Source organism: Homo sapiens, chromosome 3 (genome assembly GCF_000001405.40).
Source record: "Homo sapiens chromosome 3, GRCh38.p14 Primary Assembly".
In the NCBI taxonomy this organism is placed as follows: Eukaryota; Metazoa; Chordata; class Mammalia; order Primates; family Hominidae; genus Homo; species Homo sapiens.
In genome coordinates this window covers 47089121-47108552 of record NC_000003.12, presented here as the reverse complement: position 1 = coordinate 47108552, position 19432 = coordinate 47089121, and the positions used below count along the sequence as shown (strand labels likewise).

The 19432-nt window shown below is 38.2% G+C and overlaps 1 protein-coding gene across 12 annotated transcripts in view; it reads left to right on the top strand.

The window, feature by feature from the left end:
- The window catches only part of SETD2 (SET domain containing 2, histone lysine methyltransferase), a 148405-nt gene that overhangs the window by 56288 nt on the left and 72685 nt on the right, over positions 1-19432 (top strand). For 10 of the 12 annotated variants that reach the window (NR_146158.3, XR_007095670.1, XR_002959514.2 and 7 more), the window contains 4 exons: positions 2433-2556; positions 5130-5207; positions 6998-7095; positions 10472-10598. Coding sequence is in view for 6 of the 12 variants with exons in the window: in XM_024453487.2 (XP_024309255.1) it covers positions 2433-2556; positions 5130-5207; positions 6998-7095; positions 10472-10598 (427 nt within the window). In the remaining 6 variants the exon portion in view is untranslated. The remainder of the gene's footprint in view (positions 1-2432; positions 2557-5129; positions 5208-6997; positions 7096-10471; positions 10599-19432) is intronic. The other 2 variants (XM_024453489.1, XM_024453488.2) reach the window with 2 other exon arrangements.

Here is a 19432-nt window from a genome sequence, read left to right as displayed (position 1 = left end):
TATTTTAGTAAAATTCAAGAAAGCATCTTTATAATATAATGAGGTAAATAGTTATTTAGGTGGAGTTTGAATCCCAGGCTGTAATTGAGCTTTATGAAGTTGGATAGATCACCTACATTATCCAAACTCTGTCTTATTTGTCAAATGGGCATAATATCGATGCCAGATGACATCAATATGCTTTATTTTTATTTTTCATACTACCTTTCAAAAGCAGGTAATCAAGCCTTAAATGAGTAAGTTTAGGGAAGATAGATTTTTGGCAGAAGAGGGATTGGAAATATTTTTTATGTGTGCAGTTCCAGATCCTGGATAATATATGTTTTGTAGTCACCACATTTAATTCACAAGGCAGTCCATGATGTCATTTTTCTTTTTCTCTCTTTTTTAAGTTTTTAAAAAATGTTTTAAAACATTTTTTAAAATTTATTTATTTTGGTAGAGACGGGATTTCACCATGTTGCCCAGCTGGTCGGAAACTCCCAGGCTTAAGTGATCTACCCACCTCGGCCTCCCAAAGTGCTGGAATTACAGACTTGAGCCACTGTGCCCAGCTTTTTTTTCTTTTTTAATGCAATGGGGTCTTGCTCTGTCACCTAGCCTGGAGTGCAGTAATGTGATTGTAGCTCATTGTAGATTCAAACTCAGGGCTCAAGCAATTCTCCTGCCCCAGGCTTTCAACTGGTGTAGTGGACTATAGGCACATAATACCATGGCCGGCTAATTTTTTAATTTTTTATTGTTTGTCAAGATGAGGTCTTCCTGTGTTTTTCAGGCTGGTCTTGAACTCCTGGGCCAAAGCAATCCTGCCACCCCCCCCCCACCCCCCCCCGCCACCCAAAGTGACTTTTCTTTTTCTTGAGGGAGGGCACTAATCCTGGAAGTGGAGAGTCCAACATTGTAGGACCTCAAATTTTGTCATCATTTTAAATTATTTGCAAGATGATAAGCTTCTGGGGTTAGAAAGGACATTTCAAATATTGGTTATAGAGGTAATAATTTGACTTTCTAGGTTTACCCATGAATAATCAGATTTTTATTATTGAGACCTAAATGTGTTTGTGATGGACTACTATATAAATATATATATACATCCACTATAAACTTCTCCAATCCTGTTTTTGAGCTCTGCTTTTTAATATATGTGTTCTTTTCTCATTTGTTTTTAATTGCTTTATTTTTTAAAGTAAAAGGATTTAATTTTTTTCAGTTGGCGAAGTTAACTCCTTTAATAAGTACATTGATTATGCCAGTATGTTGTAAACAAATACAAAAGATTTACATTAAAAAAATTTCTTTCATTAGAATTAGGGTATGTTTATTTTGAGGGGATAAGAAAAGACTTTCAGGCAGGCCATTTTATGTCAGAACTTCAGAGTAAAACATAGTATAACATTTGTCTACATAGAACTAATAGTTGAAGTCATTGGTTAGAATGAGCTTTTAGAGAATTAAGAGAAGGGGAAAAGACTGATAATTTAATATCTTCAGTTCAGAATAAATAGGTAAATAATCAAGAAAAGAACATTCAAAGATAAAGGGTAACTGAAAGATGCCAAAGAAGAAGATAAATAACAATTACTGATAACATTCTAAAGAGACGTCAAAGAGAATGTCATTACATAAAGGGAATTAGATTTGATCTTTAACATTTTTAGAGACCTTTGAGAGTAAAGACAGCAGAAGGGCTGCTATATTTAAGTTGCCTTCTTCTTTTTCTTTTTCCTTTTTTTTTTTTTTTGAGACGGAGTCTCACTCTCTTGCCCAGGCTGGAGTGCAGTGGCGCGATCTCGGCTCACTGCAACTTCTGCCTCCCAGGTTCAAGCAATTCTCCTGTCTCAGCCTCCCAAGTAGCTGGGACTACAGGTGCATGCCACCACACCTGGCTAATTTTTGTATTTTTAGTAGAGATGGGGTTTCACCATATTGGTCAGGCTGGTCTCGAACTTGTGACCTCAGGTGATCCACCCGCCTCTACCTCCCAAAGTGCTGGGATTATAGGCATGAGCCTCTGCGCCCGGCTGCCTTTTTTTTTTTTTTTTTTTTTTTTTTTTTTTTTAGAGCAAAAATCCTCTAACTTTTCAGTGTCTCTTGATTTCTTCAGAGCTGTTTTCCAGCTGTTAATAACTTTTTTTGATATTGTAAGCCAGACTTGAATGATTTAGTATCTAGTTAAAGGATATATATTTTGGTAGTAGGTATAAATTATAAAAGCATCTTAGAATCAACATTCTTTGAAAAGTACTGTGAAGGAGAAAAGTAACCTTGGTTAGAAGCTAGATACTTGACATGTGTTTGAAATTTATTTTGTGTAATAACTGAATTTATCCACATTGCAGTATTTATTTAAATTCCTTATTTTTGCCTGAGCATATATGTTTTCCCTACTGCTCCTAGGTAGGAAGTGCTATTTTTTTCCTTTTGGTTTGCAGGAACACCTTTGTCCTAGAATATTGTGGAGAGGTACTCGATCATAAAGAGTTTAAAGCTCGAGTGAAGGAGTATGCACGAAACAAAAACATCCATTACTATTTCATGGCCCTGAAGAATGATGAGGTAAGCAGCTTGGATATGTTTGCCTTGAAACAGATCTGTTAGGTTTGAAGGAGCCATTGATACTGATTTGATTTTTTTTTTTTTTTTTTTTTTGGAGACGGAGTCTCGCTCTATCGCCCAGGCTGGAGTGCAGTGGCAAGATCTCGGCTCACTGCAACCCCTGCCTCCTGGGTTCAAGAGATTCTCCTGCCTCAGCTTCCTGAGTAGCTGGGATTACAGGCGCCCGCCACCACGCCTTGCTAATTTTTGTATTTTTAGTAGAGACGGGGTTTCACCACGTTGGCCAGGCTGGTCTCGATCTCCTGACCTCACCAAAGCATTGAGATTACAGGCATGAGCCACCGTGTCCTGCCGACTGATTTCTAAAATATATTAAGCGACAAAAATGAGGGGCAGAGCAGTATAAATAGCGTCTATTTGTTTTCAAAAAGCGTGGAAGTTACTGTTGCATGACAAGGTAGAAAATAAAAACATGGAAGAGAGAGGAATTTACATATATATATGTAAAGATAAACGTAGTGTGTTTTAGATTACAACTCTTAGAAATTATTGATGACCCCCAGAGTGCCTTTTTTTTTTTTTTTTTAGAGATAGTGTCTTGCTATATTACCTGGGCTGGAGTGCAGTGGTGCCATCTTGGCTCATTGCAACCTCTGCCTCCCGGGTTCAAGCGATTCTTGTGCCTCAGTCTTCTGAGTAGCTGGGACTACAGGCACACACCATCATGCCCAGCTAATTTTTGTATTTTTAGTAGAGACGGGGTTTTGCCATGTTGGCCAGGCTGGTCTTGAACTCCTGGCCTCAAGCAATCCATGTGCCTCAGCCTCCCAAAGTACTGGTATTATAGGTGTGAGCCACCGTGCCTGGCCCCAAAGTGCTTTTGCTTATATAGGTTATGTGGGTTATAATTACTTATACTTAATCATATTAAAAATCACAACTGAGAAATTTAGAATGTCTGTTTAAAACCACATTAGGGCCAAGTGGGAGAATCATTTGAAGCCAAAGGAGGCCAGCCTGGGCAACATAGTGAGACCTCATCTCTACAAAAACAAAAAAAAATTAACCGGGCATGGTTTTGCATGCATCTAGTTACAGCTGCTCCAAGGGCTCAGACCGAAGGCTAAAACAGAGAATCACTTGAGTGTTGGCCCAGATTGGCCTCCCAGAGCGTTGGGATTACAGGCATGAACCACTACACCCAGCCCATCTTGGTCTTTATTTAGAAGTTTGTTGATGTTTTGTGGCCAGAAATCTGCCATAGGAACTTAACTATTGTTTAGTATCAGTTAGCCTATGGTAAAATTGGTTTCCTTGTATGTTGTTTTGCTTTTGTAAGTTGCAGTTTCAAAGAACCTGTTGATGACTTTAAGTGAGGACTTAACTGTAACAATAGTAAGCCCATTACTTATTGATAAAAATAACATGGTATTATGAAAAATAACTTTTTTTTTTTTGAGTCAGGGTCTTGCTCTGTTGCCCAGCCTGGGGTGCAGTGGCATGATGATAGCTTACAGCAGCCTTGAACTGCTGGGCTCAAGCAGTCCTCCCACCTCAGTCTCCTGAGGTGCTGGAACTACAGGCACATGCCACCATGCCTGGCTTATTTTTAAATTTTTTGTAGAGACAGGGTCTTGCTGTGTTGCCCAGGCTGGTCTCACTTCTGACCTGAAGCAATCCTCCTGCCTCAACTTCCCAAAGCACTGGGATTACAGACATAAACCACTGTGCCTGGCCTTGGAAAATGATTATTTAAATTTTTTTTTTTTTTTTAGTGAAAAGAGTTGCATCGCTTTACATTTTTATAAATCTCTTTAATGTCTGGCTTAATAAAATTCAGTTCAATTCTCATATATCTGCCTCTGTATTCAGTGTGGAAATGTAAATTCTAGGGACCTAACCCCAGAGCTGTTTAGTTTAACCCTAGGGATGGGTTCAGCAAGTTTTAACAAACTCTCCATGGGATTTGGATACACACTCAAGGTTGAGACCTATGGCATTGTGACATAGCCCACACTTTAAAGTGAAGTATTATACCATGCAGTGAGATTAGGATGTAATAGAATATAAGAAATGGCTAAGGATAAATGGGAGAGACACTGATAAAGATAATTTTGCCTATGGGCAAAAGTTAATAATTAGCAGATCTTCCAAAAGCATCAGTTAGGTATTTGTTGCTTTGAAGTGGGAAGCAGTGTGACAGTTCTCTGAAGCAAGGGCAAAGTGGGGATAAGGGAGTGTGTGTGTGTGTGCGTGCGTGTGCATTGCATGTATCTTACATTTGTCTTAATGCTTTTCCTTTGTAAAATGTGTAAATTTTTTTTGATTGGGTTAATTTAATTCACAGTGTCATCTGTCTTCAGTTAGAAATAATGGAAACTGAGCCATTGTTTACAGTGGAAAAACTTTGAAGCTGGTAGTCAGGAGGCCTCACTGCCCTACCTTAACTGGTTAGGTTTCGCAGCACAATCTTTTTTTTAATTGATGCATAAGAGATGTATGTAGTTTTGCAGGTAATTGCATGAATATTTAAGGTATTATTTTTTAATTCTTAAATGATCCTCTTCTCCCAGATAATAGATGCCACTCAAAAAGGAAATTGCTCTCGTTTCATGAATCACAGCTGTGAACCAAATTGTGAAACCCAAAAAGTAAGTTGAGGTGGATTTAGAGTTTGAGGTATTTGTTCACGATTGCTGTTCTGACCATTAATTTTAGATCCCATATCTAAGGTACTCATGAATTTTTTAGTCCCTTTTTCCTATTCTACTTTATTATTTAAGATTTTATTTGGAAATAGGTTTAGATTTATAGGAATGTTAGAAAAATAGTATTGACTACACCCATATATCAGTCTTCACCTAGCTTTCCCCATGTTAACATCATATATAACCATAATAAAAGGATCAGATCCAGAGAATGCTATTAAGTAATATGAAGACCGTATTCCAATTTTGACAGCTGTTGTTTTTCTGGTCCAAGATCCAATCCAGGAACTCACATTGCATTTAGTTGTCACCTCTCCTTCCTTGCCCATAATTATTTTGTATATTATTTTAATGGTGCCAAAATACAAAACTAAATTTTAATTTTGAAAGTTCAGTGTGTATTTGGATTCTTTATTAGGTCTTATCTAGGTGCAACATTTGACTTTTAATAACACTGATGAGGGACTGAAGGACTAACATTGAGAGGGATTGTATCTTTTTTTTTTTTTTTTTTTTGCCCAGGCTGGAGCGCAGTGACATGATCTCGGCTCACTGCAACCTCCGCCTCCTGGATTCATGCGATTCTCCTGCCTCAGCCTCCCAAGTAGCTGGGATTACACGTGCGTGCCATCACGTCCAGCTAATTTTTTTAGTATTTTTAGTAGAGACGGGGTTTTGCCATGTTGGCCAGGCTGGTCTCGAACTCCTGGCCTCAAGCGATCCACCCCCGTCAGCCTCCCAAAGTGCTAAGATTATAGGCGTGAGCCTCCGCACCCAGCTGGGATTGTAACTTTTTAAGGTTAAAGCTATGAACCCGCTCTGCAAATGTATATCATTGATTTCCTCTCATGTTGAAATAGCACTTTTGAGTCTGGATATTTTTTGCCCTTTGAACTATACACTAATAGATTTTATGCATGGCTCTTCCAAGAGCCAAGTTGTATAACAAAAAGGAGAACCTACTGTGGAATCATTCAACCTAGGTTTTGGTTATAGTTCTGCCAGAGCTGGTGGCCACATGTCTAGCTGTGAGACTCTCACTGTACAGTGTCCCTTAATCTCTGCAAGTCCAGAGTTTTCATTAGTAACATGTGCAAATTGTCTGGATCAGAGCTCCTCAGTCCTTGACTTGCTTACATGTTTTGGAACTAAAAGATCTGCCTAACATGTATCTGCCCCCATTTTAATTCTTGAGTCTTATGCATCTGTTCTGATGTCCCTTTCACTATACTCAGCCAGATGACCACCACTTCATGGAATTAAACTTTTGGGATCAGTGTTTCCTAGTTTCTATATCTCATCTTATCTTACAACATGGTTACTTTTAACATATGTTAATATAGACTTGCCTTTGATACTCAGTGACACAAGCATCCTCTGTTTGCCAATTTTTAGTACAAGTGAATCTTTACTGTATGGAAATGTTAAGATAAATTAAAATAGCAGTTACTTTTTTTTCTTTTTTTTAGCAGTTACTTTTATTAGAGACGAATTAGAGATATATGCAATCTGGTAGTCCATTAAATGAGAGTTACACTTAAATATTTTAGTTCTTTTAAAGAAAAAAGTCTCCATGTGCTATTTGGGAAAACCTTCATTGCCTAAAGACCCACTTGCATAATTAAGGCAGATGATGATGATCTTTATATATGCGCACACACACACACACACACACACACACACACACACACTAATAAGTTACTAATTTCTTTTGTTTTCAAACATCATCTCAGTGGACTGTGAACGGACAACTGAGGGTTGGGTTTTTTACCACCAAACTGGTTCCTTCAGGCTCAGAGTTAACGTTTGACTATCAGTTCCAGAGATATGGGTAAGTATTGTTTCTACTAATTTTGCTGCTTCTGATGGGGAAATAGGCTGTTCAGATATAAGGATATAAAACTTTAATATAAATTACTTAAAAGTTATATTTACTCTTAACTCTTATCTATAAGATATTGTTTTGGTTTTGTGTGTTTTTCTACTGTATGACACTTCTGACCCTTAAGGGATGTTGTACAGGAACTGTATAATTTTCTCCTCAACTTCATATGGTCTACTTGTATAATTATATTTCTTATGTAATTCTGAAAAACTTTAGACATGCCAACTCTTTTTGTGTCTGAAGAGAATAGTACAGTATTATAAATTCCTCTGTATCCGTTATTCAGCATTAACAGTTAGCATAACTCATAACCAGTCTATTTCATCTGTACCATTTTGTACTCTTAAATATAATTGGTTACCTAGTTCTTTTTTTTTTTTTTTTTTTTTTTTTTGAGATGGACTCTTGCTCTGTCGCCCAGGCTAGAGTGCAGTGGCGTGATCTTGGCTCACTGCAAGCTCCGCCTCCCAGGTTCATGCCGTTCTCCTGCCTCAGCCTCCTGAGCAGCTGGTACTACAGGCGCCCGCCACCACGCCCAGCTAATTTTTTGTATTTTTAGTAGAGACAGGGTTTCACCGTGTTAGCCAGGATGGTCTTGATCTCCTGACCTTGTGATCCGCCCGCCTCTGCCTCCCAAAGTGCTGGGATTACAGGCTTGAGCCACTGCGCCCGGCCTGGTTACCTAGTTCTGTTTCCTAAAAACAGTAACCGATGCAATAGCAAAGACTGCCTAAGCAAAAAGTGTGAGAGTTCTTATTAACACTGAAGCATTAATAAAGATACTGAGGAGGTTTGAAGCACATTATGTAAAATCCCTGTGTTCTAATGACTACTTAAAAATAAAACTACAGGCTGGTTGCAGTGGGTCACGCCTGTAATCTCAGCATTTTGGGAGGCTGAGGCGGGCAGATCATGAGGTCAGGAGTTTGAGCCTGGCCAACATGGTGAAACCCCGTCCATACTAAAAATATAAAAATTAGCTGGGCGTGGTGGCGCACGCCTGTAATCCCAGCTACTCTGGAGGCTGAGGCAGGAGAATAGCTTGAACCTGGGAGGCGGAGGTTGCAGTGAGCTGAAATCGTGCTGTTGCACTCCAGCCTGGGTGACAGAGGGACTCCATCTAAAAAAAATAAAAAGCAAACGAACAAAAAACTACGCCTGGGAGGCTGGGTGCGGTGGCTCATGCCTGTAATCTCAGCACTTTGAGAGGCCAAGGTGGGCAGATCACGAGGTCAAGAGTTCGAGATCAGCCTGGTCACATGGTGAAACCCCGTCTCTACTAAGAATACAAAAAATAGCCAGGTGGGGTGGCACATGCCTGTAATCCTAGCTACTCCGGAGGCTGAGGCAGGAGAATCACTTGAGATCGTGCTACTGCACTCCAGCCTGGGCACAGAGAAAGACTCTGTCTCGAAAAAAACAAAACAAAAACAAAAAAGCAAAAAAAAAAAAAGGTATATTAGTCAACCAATTCATGACTTTGAAGACTAGTTTAAAAATAAAAAAGGAAAAAAATTAAGCATTTAAACATTTATTCTGCCTTTCTCAAGTGACTTCTGCTTTAGGTTAAACCAAATAGTTGATGAGAAGAAGTTTTTCTTTGTACAAGTCTTCCAGTTAATAAATGTAGTAGTAGGTGAGTGGTGCATGCTTATAGTCCCAGCTACTCAGGAGGGTGAGGTGGGAGGATCACTTGAGCCTAGGACATTGAGGCTGCAGGGAGGCATGACCTTGCTACTACAGTCCAGCCTGGGCCATAGCACAAGACCCTGTCTCAGAAAACAAAAAGATAAAACTAAATTAAGTAGTAAAAATATCACCATTTTGCAACACTTAGTAAGGTATGGGTCCTAAACAGTGGTCATTAGTGGCCGCTAATATCAGAAAAAGACAACTAATGTGTGCCTCATAATGAAAGAACACAACATTACCCGTGAAACAGTCTATCTTCTTTGGGTCTTTAGGACCAGTGACCTATGCAAGATACTTTCTGATTATTAAGAAACCAGTACAATTAAAATATTGGAAAATTTAAGTAAGATACAAAACCCTAAAAGTTTTTATTTTATTTTTTTCAGATTATACCTATATCAATTAGTAGCTTTTGGTGTTTATGCTAGAAAAGCACACAGCTGCAGAGTTTCCTGAATATTTTAATTCTTTTAATGCTACCATATGATGAGGTTTTAATTCCTGTACTCTGTTCAGTCTGGTGACAGTTACCAGACTTCTGGCAATGAAGGTCTTTTACATACTCCTTCACATTGTTTCATACATGCTTCATGTCTTAAACATAGTGAACTCTGAAACTGATGATCTGATTATAATCTAGGACAAATGCCAGATGGTTGTTTCCGATTCTGTCTGCTTCTCTTGTCAGATATTCAGGGCATGAATGCAGACCAGGTTCTGTGTCGGGCTCCATTTTTTTGCCTCTGTGCTTGTATTGTCCTCTCTGAGGGAAAGAAAAGTGGAAATCAAGTGCTGTTTGGGAATTCCTGCTCTACTTATTGAACAATTTATTTTTATCCCTCTAATTGCCACTATCATATCCTAAGTCCACCAGTTTACTATTAGAATACTCAATTATTATTATTATTATTTTTTTGAGACAGAGTCTTACTCTGTCACCCAGGCTGGAGTGCGGTGGTGCAATCTCGGCTCACTGCAACCTCTGCCTCCTGGATTCAAACAATTCTCATGCCTCAGCCTCTTGAGTAGCTGGGATTACAGGTGTGTGCCACCATGCCCAGCTAATTTTTGTATTTTTAATAGAAATGGGGTTTCACCATGTTGGCCAGGCTGGTCTCAAACTCCTGGCCTCCCAAAGTGCTGACATTACAGTCGTGAGCCACTGTGCCCAGCCAGTCTTTTAATAATCAAATGTTTCCTTTTAAGTATCCTGTATTAATCATTTTATGTCTGCTTATACTAATGCATGTTTGTTTGTTCTATGTGCCAATTAAACATTTACATATAAGTAATAGTTCTCTGAACTATTTAAGCAATTTTATTCTTAATCCAAACATGTATATGATCTCTTATTTTCATATTACTAGGTATTCTCATAAAATGGAAGAATTGTTTATTTCTTGGCTAGTTTTGTCTCCCAAAGAAAGATGATTGGAAAAATAATGAATATTTTTAAAGAGCAGTTTTCAGACATTTCTATTAGTAATAGCAGACTTGTTGGAATCTCTTCAAGTTATGGTTTTTGTTTGTTTGATTTTGTTTAGACTGGTATGACTTTTGTGTGTATTGCCAACAGTTTTGTATGGTTTACTTCCACATAGCTGACTTCTTTCCTATGCTCTTTGAACAGAAAAGAAGCCCAGAAATGTTTCTGCGGATCAGCCAATTGCCGGGGTTACCTGGGAGGAGAAAACAGAGTCAGCATCAGAGCAGCAGGAGGGAAAATGAAGAAGGAACGATCTCGTAAGAAGGATTCAGTAAGTTTGCATTTTTCTTTCAACTTTCACAATAAAAAATTTAAAAAGCGAGGTGGCTTTTCTGATTGAAGGTTATAAAGTCATACTACTGCCACCAGAGAAATCCAAGATCAGATGAGTTGTTACCAGAAAAGAGATGCAATTGCTATTTTTATTTCAGATTCATAGAGATTGGAATTGGGTACTGAGAACTATTAAAGTATTATTGAAAACACCTGGACTAATAGTTTTTCAGATTCTTTAAAACTCCTAAGTACAAGTAAAACATATCTTTTCTCCCTGATAGCTCACTATGTCTGCTGTACGTTTCTAATCTCTTGTTATTGGTTTGTCTTTGTTTGGTACTCTAAACTTTGAGTGTTCTTCAAATCTCTGAAAATCCTCTTTTGAGTGTGAGAAAAGTTTTGAGAGGAAGTAGGTAACCTAAGACCAACAGGAGTAGTCACAGATGCTCTTTTTATTTAATGAAACAGCAGTTGATAGCCTCATTTTGTACCCTGTCTTGCCTGAGTTACTCCTGGGATGGGGATGGGATTGTTGGTGGGGAATATCCTGTTACTAAAGGGACTATCAATTGCAAAAAGGACTTTGTGTTTAAAAAAATATTCTCCTCCCTTTTTTGAGGATCCCTTTGCTAGAGCACTGTTTTTCAAAAATGTGATCCTTGGATCACTTTCTTTAGAACCAGCTGGCTGGATCCATAGTAAAAATGCACATTTTTGGGCTACTCTCTAGACCTGTGAATCTTAGTGGAAGGGCTGAGGGTTTACCGGTGTTAGTCAGCAAATTCCCCTGTGATTCTTTTGCAGTTAGCTCATTCCTGGACTTTTCAGGAACTTAATACTCATAAGAACTATAGATGACAGCAATTTTTCTGTTTAGATGGGGAGATAGAAAAAGACATGAGGGAGGTGATGAGAGTATAATGGTTAAAAGGTAACATCAATTGAGCACAAATTAATTTGAGGGAATTAAGTATTAAGAATCTGAATTCTGTAAGAAGATTCAGTTAAAAAAAGTTAAAAAAAGCATTGGAAAGGTCCGTTAAAAAAAGCAGAAAAGGACAGTTTATATAACAAACACCTGTATTTCCACCACCCAACATGAACAAATGCATTGGAATGTCATGTGTTCTTTAGCTCTTTCTTTCTCTCTCTCTCTTTTAAAAAATGTATATATTTTCAAATGGTTTGGCTTTGTTTTTTTTTGAGACAACGTCTCGCACTGTTCCACAGGCCAGAGTACAGTAGAGTGATCACAGCTCACTGCAGCCTTGAACTCCTGGCTCAAGTGATCCTCTCACCTTGGCCTCCCAAAGTGCTGGGATTACAGGCATGAGCCACAGTGCCCAGCCCCCCTTTTTTTTTTTTTTTTTTTTTTTTTGAGGCAAAATCTCATTCTGTTGCTTAGGCTGGAATTCAGTGATGCATTCATAGCTCACTGCAGCTTCAAACTCCTGGGCTCAAGTGATCCTCTCGCCTTGGCCTCCCAAAGTGCTGGGATTACAGGCATGAGCTACCACACCCAGCCTTCAGCCCTCTTTTTAGATAGCATATATAGTGTAACTTTATGCCAAGCACTTTTCTAAGCACTTGATGTATTAGCTCATTTAATTCTCACAATAAGCTCATAAATTAGGTAATGATCTTTCCTTTTTTACAGTTAAGAACACACTAAGGCACAGAGAGATTATAGTGTCACCCAAATAGGTGGTGGAAATAAGCTCCAATCCAGCATCTTGTCTCTGCTCTTAACCATTGTGTTAAACTACAGTTAAACTGTAGAGTGGAGTCCCCTCCTACCTTTGAGGCAACTATGGCCATAACAATAGATGTTTCTGCATTTTAGAACATATTGTTTTGTGTGGCATTTTAAAAGTTTTTAGAAATGGTAAAATATAGCTGGGCGTGGTGGCTCTTGCTTATAATCCCAGCACTTTGGGAGGCCAAGGCGGGAGGATAGCTTGAGCCCAGGAGTGCAAGACCATCCTAGGCAATATAGTGAGACCTCATCTCTATTAAAAAAGAAAAAGAAATGAGATAATATAGATGTATTTGTGTGCATTTTTTACTCTTATTTTTGAATTTGATCTGTATTCATATATGTAGATGAACATTTATTTCTAATTGCTGTAATTTTTTTCTTTTTTTTTCTCAACTTCTGCATGATGGTCATTTGAAAGTTTTTCTTTTTTTTTTTCATCATGTAACAGTTTATTGACATATTTTCCTACTGATGGATACTTATGTTTCCAATTTTTGCTATTAATTTCAAAGTTAGTATCTTTGCACATGTCTCTTTTGCACATGTTTCTTTAAGATTTATCTATGGAAGTGTAGTCACTGGGTCATACCTAGTCTGTTAGCTTTCTTCACTTGACTACCGGACATTTTTCTTTAAACTCCATTAGATTGCTTTTGTTGTTAACTCTTGTTTCATATAATTCATGGTTTACCAGAGCAACCACAAAGTAGTTATTAAACATGTTGACCTAAACTAGTATCTCCATAAAAACTTTCCAGGCCAGGCACGGTGGCTCACGCCTGTAATCTCAGCCCTTTGGGAGGCTGAGGCAGGCAGATCACGAGGTTAGGAGTTCAAGACCAGCCTGGCCAACATGGTGAAACCCTGTCTCTACTAAAAATACAAAAATTTGCTGGGCGTGGTGGCGGGTACCTGTAATCTCAGCTACTCCGGAGGCTGAGGCAGGAGAATTGCTTGAACCCAGGAGGCAGAGCTTGCAGTGAGCCGAGATGGCACCACTGCACTCCAGCCTAGGCTACAGAGCAAAACTCCATCTAAAAAAATAACAAAAAGAAAAACTTCCCAATGGCTGTTTCCTATTTTCAAAACTTACAGAATAAACACATTTTTAAAACTAATTTATTGATGAGAAGTGACCTTACTATGGATTAAGAGGTGGCATTATATCTGTATCATACCTCCATTAGGTGGCTTTTTACCTTTCTGAGAAGATTTAAGGATAACTCTGAAGAACTAAGGACTAGATATTTCTGTCATTGGTTGGTTGGTTGTATTCAGGTAATAGTGTGCCAATTTCAGGATAGGTCTTAGTGCCTTTGGACTGAATTAGATGTAACTTGTATCCAGTCATTCCATAGGCTACAGTCATCGGTTGCTCCAGATATGAATTTGAAGTTATTCCGGAACAATGATGTTTTATATGAAACTTTGCCCAGATAGAGGAATATCCCAGAATGAACCTAGGTTCCTAGAATGATGTGAAAGATCATTTGCCCTTGACTCTAATGCAGAGGTTAATTGTACTTTAATTTTACTTGGATTATCTGCTGCAGAAATTTCTTTTTTGCATGCCTGGATTCTGAGTTTTGGTCAGTTACAGTTGAGCAGAATCACAGAAGCAGAATCACAGAATTCAACTGTTTGAACTCACAAGGTTGAGCCTTGGGAATTTCTTGGGTAAAGGATGCCATGGAAAGGACAAGATAGCTAGCAGTTCAGAATGCAGTTTTGCATGTATAAACTGTTGACAAGAAGATGTTAATAATGATTGCACTATAATCCACATCCCTCATGTTACCCCTTGATTGCTAAACATTTTTTATCCTTGTTCTTATGATTGCATCTGTATACAGCTTCTTTCCTTAACCAAACTATAAGCTCTTCCAGGACAGGTGATTATCTTTGGCTATGTCACACACTGGGTACTTAAGTACTTACTTACTTGATGGAAGTATAATATGTCCCTACTATGACCTGATGTTATTTGTAGTTTATGGTACGAACAGAAAATAATCTGAAACTTCCCTTAGTCTCTATTGTTTGAGTTTTTGAAACAAATCAATAATAATTTATGTAATAAAGAGGGTGAAAACCCACCTGAGTGAGAAGAAATACTTAACTTTCAACTCATAACAAATGAATACTACTATCCAGAATATGCATAATGAGTGTAACTAGTATCCTATTAATAAGAAAAGAACAGCCAGCACAAAAGAAAAATAGACAACTTCCAGAGACACTTTACTAATTGAAATAGCCAATAAACGTGGAAAGCTGTTCAACTTTATTAGTAATTGGGGAGTGCAAATTAAAATTACTATTAGATGTTATTTACACTCTCACCAGATTGATAAAAATTAAGTTCCATGGTACATAAGAACAACAGATCTCATACACTGTTGGTGAGGGGTGTAAATGAGGGACAACCACTTTTGAAAATACTTTGACATTATTTACTGAAGTGAAAGAACATATACCATATGAGCCAGCAGTTCCTGGGTGTATAAGCAGAGAGGCTAGCTATAATGTATATCAGAAGTCACAACAGCATTGCTTATGATATCAGAAAAAGTAGAAATAACTCAAATATTTATTAACATAAGAATGGGCCAGGCGCAGTGGCTCATGCCTATAATCCCAGCACTTTGGGAGGCCGAGGTGGGCAGATCACCTGAGGTCAGGAGTTCGAGACCAGCCTGGCCAACATGATGAAACCCTGTCTCTACTAAAAATACAAAAATTAGCCAAGTGTAATGGTGGGTGCCTGTAATCTCAGCTACTTGGGAGGCTGAGGCAAGAGAATTGCTTGAACCCAGGAGATGGAGGTTGCAGTGAGCTGACATGATGCCACTGCACTCCTACCTGGGCGACAGAGTGAAGCTCAGTCTCAAAAAAAAAAAAAAAAAGGATGGATAAATTATAAAAGAAATAGTCATGAAAATAAACTGGCTGCATACAGTAACATGGATAACTCTTAAAATGTAAGGTTGAGTGAAAGAAGCATGACAAAATATTTTGTCCAGTATGATTTCATTTCCATAAAGATAGACAAAATTTTATATACCTATGTAACAAACCTGCATGTTCTTGCACATGTATCCCAGAACTTAAAGTAAAATTAAAGTAATTAGGGAGCAAGGACAAGAGTGAACCTTTCATTTCTAATAAAGTTAGCTTCCATCACTTAAAAAAAATTAATATTTAGGAATTTGCATATGGATAGTAAACCTATAAAGAAAATTGAAGACCTATTTCTTAAAATGTTAGGATAAGTTATCTCCAAAGCATAGGAAGGGTTGCTGTTATAACCAGGAAGGGGTAGGTACATGGGGCACTACAGGAATGCTAGCAGTATTCTGTTTTTTAAACTTACCTGGATGGTGGCTGTATGGGTGTTGCTCACCTGTTTATTAAACCTATTTACTAATTGTTTTTATATATTTCTGTCTATATGTGTATTCTGCATACTGTATGTTGTATTCCATCAAGAAGTATTTAAAATGCTACTTAGACCCCTTAGTGCCACAAATATTCAAGTATTAAAAAATAGTATCTTGCAATGATTAGGTACTTAATACATTTTCAAGTACTATAGAATTGTGCATATATATGCACTATATATAGTAAATATATACTATCTATAAATTACAGATAAATATATAATGTATAAATATATATTTAATATATATAAATTTTCAGTTTATCAATAATTTAAAAATACACCCTAATCATTCTTACATTTATGTTTACTTTTAGTTACTTACCTCATATTCTTGGATGATGTTGACCCATACATAAAATCTAAGACTTTTAATAAATGTAATTTAATTGAAAGGAAGGGAGACAAACTCAGTCTTCCCACCTCTGTCTCCCAGGTACCCTAAAAGTTATTGCACAATTGATTGCTATGCTTGAGCACCCAAAATTAGGGAAGCTGTATTATCACCACTGGAATTGGCATGCATTTATGTGTATGTGTGTTACAGTATAACCGCTGAGGAATGTTCAAGGGTTATTCATCTTTATTTTGTTTGCAAAACTTAATTTATACTGCAGTTTCTGCATTTTTACGGTTTATTTTTCTTTAGTTAGAACGTGATTTTCTTTATATCCTGGAAATGCCTTACACAATATCTATTCAATAAATGTTATTGAATGAATGTAAATAACATAATTTAGAGTTTTTAAACAGTCATAACATGCCTAATTTTAAAAAGAAAATACCTCTTTTTTTTTGTTTGTTTTTAAGAGAGTATTTTGCTCTGTCACCCAGGCTGGAGTGCTGTGGCATGATCTTAGCTCATTGCAACCTCCGCCTCCCAAGTTCAAGTGATTCTCCTGCCTCAGCCATCAGAGTAGCTGGGATTACAGATGTGCATCACCACACCTGGCTAATTTTTATTTTATTTTATTTATTTATTTATTTTTGAGACAGAGTCTTGCTCTGTCGCCCAGGCTAGAGTACAGTGGCACGATCTTGGCTCACTGTAACCTCCGCCTCCCGCGCTGAAGTGATTCTCCTGCCACAGCCTCCTGAGTAGCTGTGATTTTAGGCACCTGCCATCATGCCCGGCTAATTTTTGTATTTTTAGTAGAGACTGGGTTTCACCGTGTTGGCCAGGCTGGTCTTGAACTCCTGACCTTAGGTGATCCACCCACCTTGGCCTCCCAAAGTGCTGGGATTACAGGCGTGAGCCACCGTGCCTGGCCTAATTTTTGTATTTTTAGTAGAAATGGGGTTTTACCATGTTTGCCAGGCTGGTCCCGAACTCCTGGCCTCAGGTGATCTGTCCGCCTTGGCCTCTCAAGTGCTGGGATTACAGGTGTGAGCCACTGTGTCTGGCTGAAAATATCTCATTTTTTAGCCCTGTGAATATTTTCGTCTCAAAAATCTGTCAAAAGCAGTATTCTGGCTGTTACAGTTGAGGGGGAAAGTAGAATTTTAAAGCCCTTGAACTCATCTAATACCGTAGAATTTGGGACACAGGAAGGCTTACATTTAGGATATGCAAGGAAAAGATATCTTTAATGAAATTGTCTTTCTTGGATTAAGACAACTTTAAATTGGTTTTTCTGTTCATGTATTTACTCAAAAACTTAAGTGGTATTGGAAATGAAAAAGAATGAGCCTTAAATGTACATTTTAGAAAGAAAAATGGGTTTGAGTTTCTACAACCTCTCTCAGGCAGCACTTTATTTTTTCTCATTTATTCTTGTTCTTTACCAGAATGTGAATTTTTGGGTACAATATGAAATAAAAATGTTCAGTGCCTTGCCTGAAATTATATTAAGGGATAAATAGCTAGTTAAGTAAAAGAAAAAAGTAATAGAAAATTTTCTTAAGATTCTTTCCTTTTAGCTTGCTTTTCTCTGAATCATTTCATTCTAGACTTTCATCATTTCCTGCTAAGTTGTAATGTTACCTGTCTTCTCCTTAGTCTCTAGCTTATCTGAATTTTATTCTGTTATTGCCGCACAAATTATTATCAAGTTCCACTTTGGGCTGGGCGCAGTGGCTCACGGCTATAATCCTAGCACTTTGGGAGGCTGAGGCGGGCAGATCACAAGATCAGGAGATCGAGACCATCCTGGCTAACATGGTGAAACCCTGTCTCTACTAAAAATACAAAAAATTAGCTGGATATGGTGGCACGGGCCTGTAGTCCCAGCTAGTCAGGAGGCTGAGGCAGGAGAATCACTTGAACCTGGGAGGTGGAGGTTGCGGTGAGCTGAGATCCGCGCCACTGCACTCCAGTCTGGGCGACAGAGCGAAACTCCATCTCAAAAAAATAAAAAATAAAAAAATAATAATCCATTTTGATCATATATATTCCCTTGTTCAGGATTCTGTTCAGGTTTTATCAAATTCAAGTTATTTTATGTTAAATTGAGATCTTCTAATCTAACACCAGTCTTTTATTTGTTTGTTTGTTTGTTTGTTTTTGAGAAGGAGTCTCACTCTGTCGCTCAGGCTAGAGTACAGTGGCACAATCTTGGTTCACTGCAACCTCCACCTCGTGGGTTCAAGCTATTCTCCTGCCTCAGCCTCCCGATAGCTGGTACTACAGGCTCCCGCCACGATGCCCGGCTAATTTTTGTATTTTTATTAGAGACAGGGTTTCACCATGTTGGCCAGGCTCGTCTTGAACTCCTGACCTCAGGTGATCCGCCTGTCTTGGCCTTTCAGAGTTCTGGGATTGTAGACATGAGCCACTGCATCTGGCCCAGTCTTTTATTTGGTATGGTTTTTCTCAGTCCGTCACCATGCCTTACCTGTTTGAGCTTTGTTGACCTAAGCACTGTCATGATTTCTTATTTTCCTTTGTTCACACTTTTCCCCACTACTTTGCTTACCCTTTCCTCTTGTCTTTATCTTACCTATTTCTAATCTTATTTCAGTGACTCATTCTAATTACTCCCTTATGTAGGCCTCTTAGTTCTATGTAACATTTGCAGTTAATGCTTCCTTGTTTGGTTTCATATGAATTAATTTAATCTCACCCATAATAAATTCTTTGAAAGAATCTTTATGTCCTGTAACTGCCATAATGCAGGGCTGGAAATAACCTTTGGTAGGTTGATTCCCACCCCCCGTTATTTACATTTAATATTTAAAATACTTAAAGAATATATATGTTACAAAGCATAATTATAAAATCCTTGTTAGTGCTTCTCTGCTTCCTTCTCCCTACCTAGAGGTTACCACTGTTGTACATTTTGGGTCTTACTTCCTTGCCTTTTTTTGAGACAGGATTTCACTGTGTCACCCAGGCTGGAGTGCAGTGGCAAAATTATAACTCACTGTAGCCTCAATTTCCCAGGCTCAGGTGATCCTTCTGCCTCAGCCTCCTGAATAGCTGAGACTATAGACACATGCTACCACACCTGGCTAATTTTTTTGATTTTTAGTAGAGATGAAGTCTGGCTGTGTTGCCCAGGCTGGTCTTAAACTCCTGAGCTCAAGTCATCTTCCTGCCTCAGCCTTTCAAAGTGCTGAGATTACAAGTGTGAGCCACCATGCCCGGTCATCCTTGCCTGTTTAAAAGCAGTTTTTCACATATGTATCACTA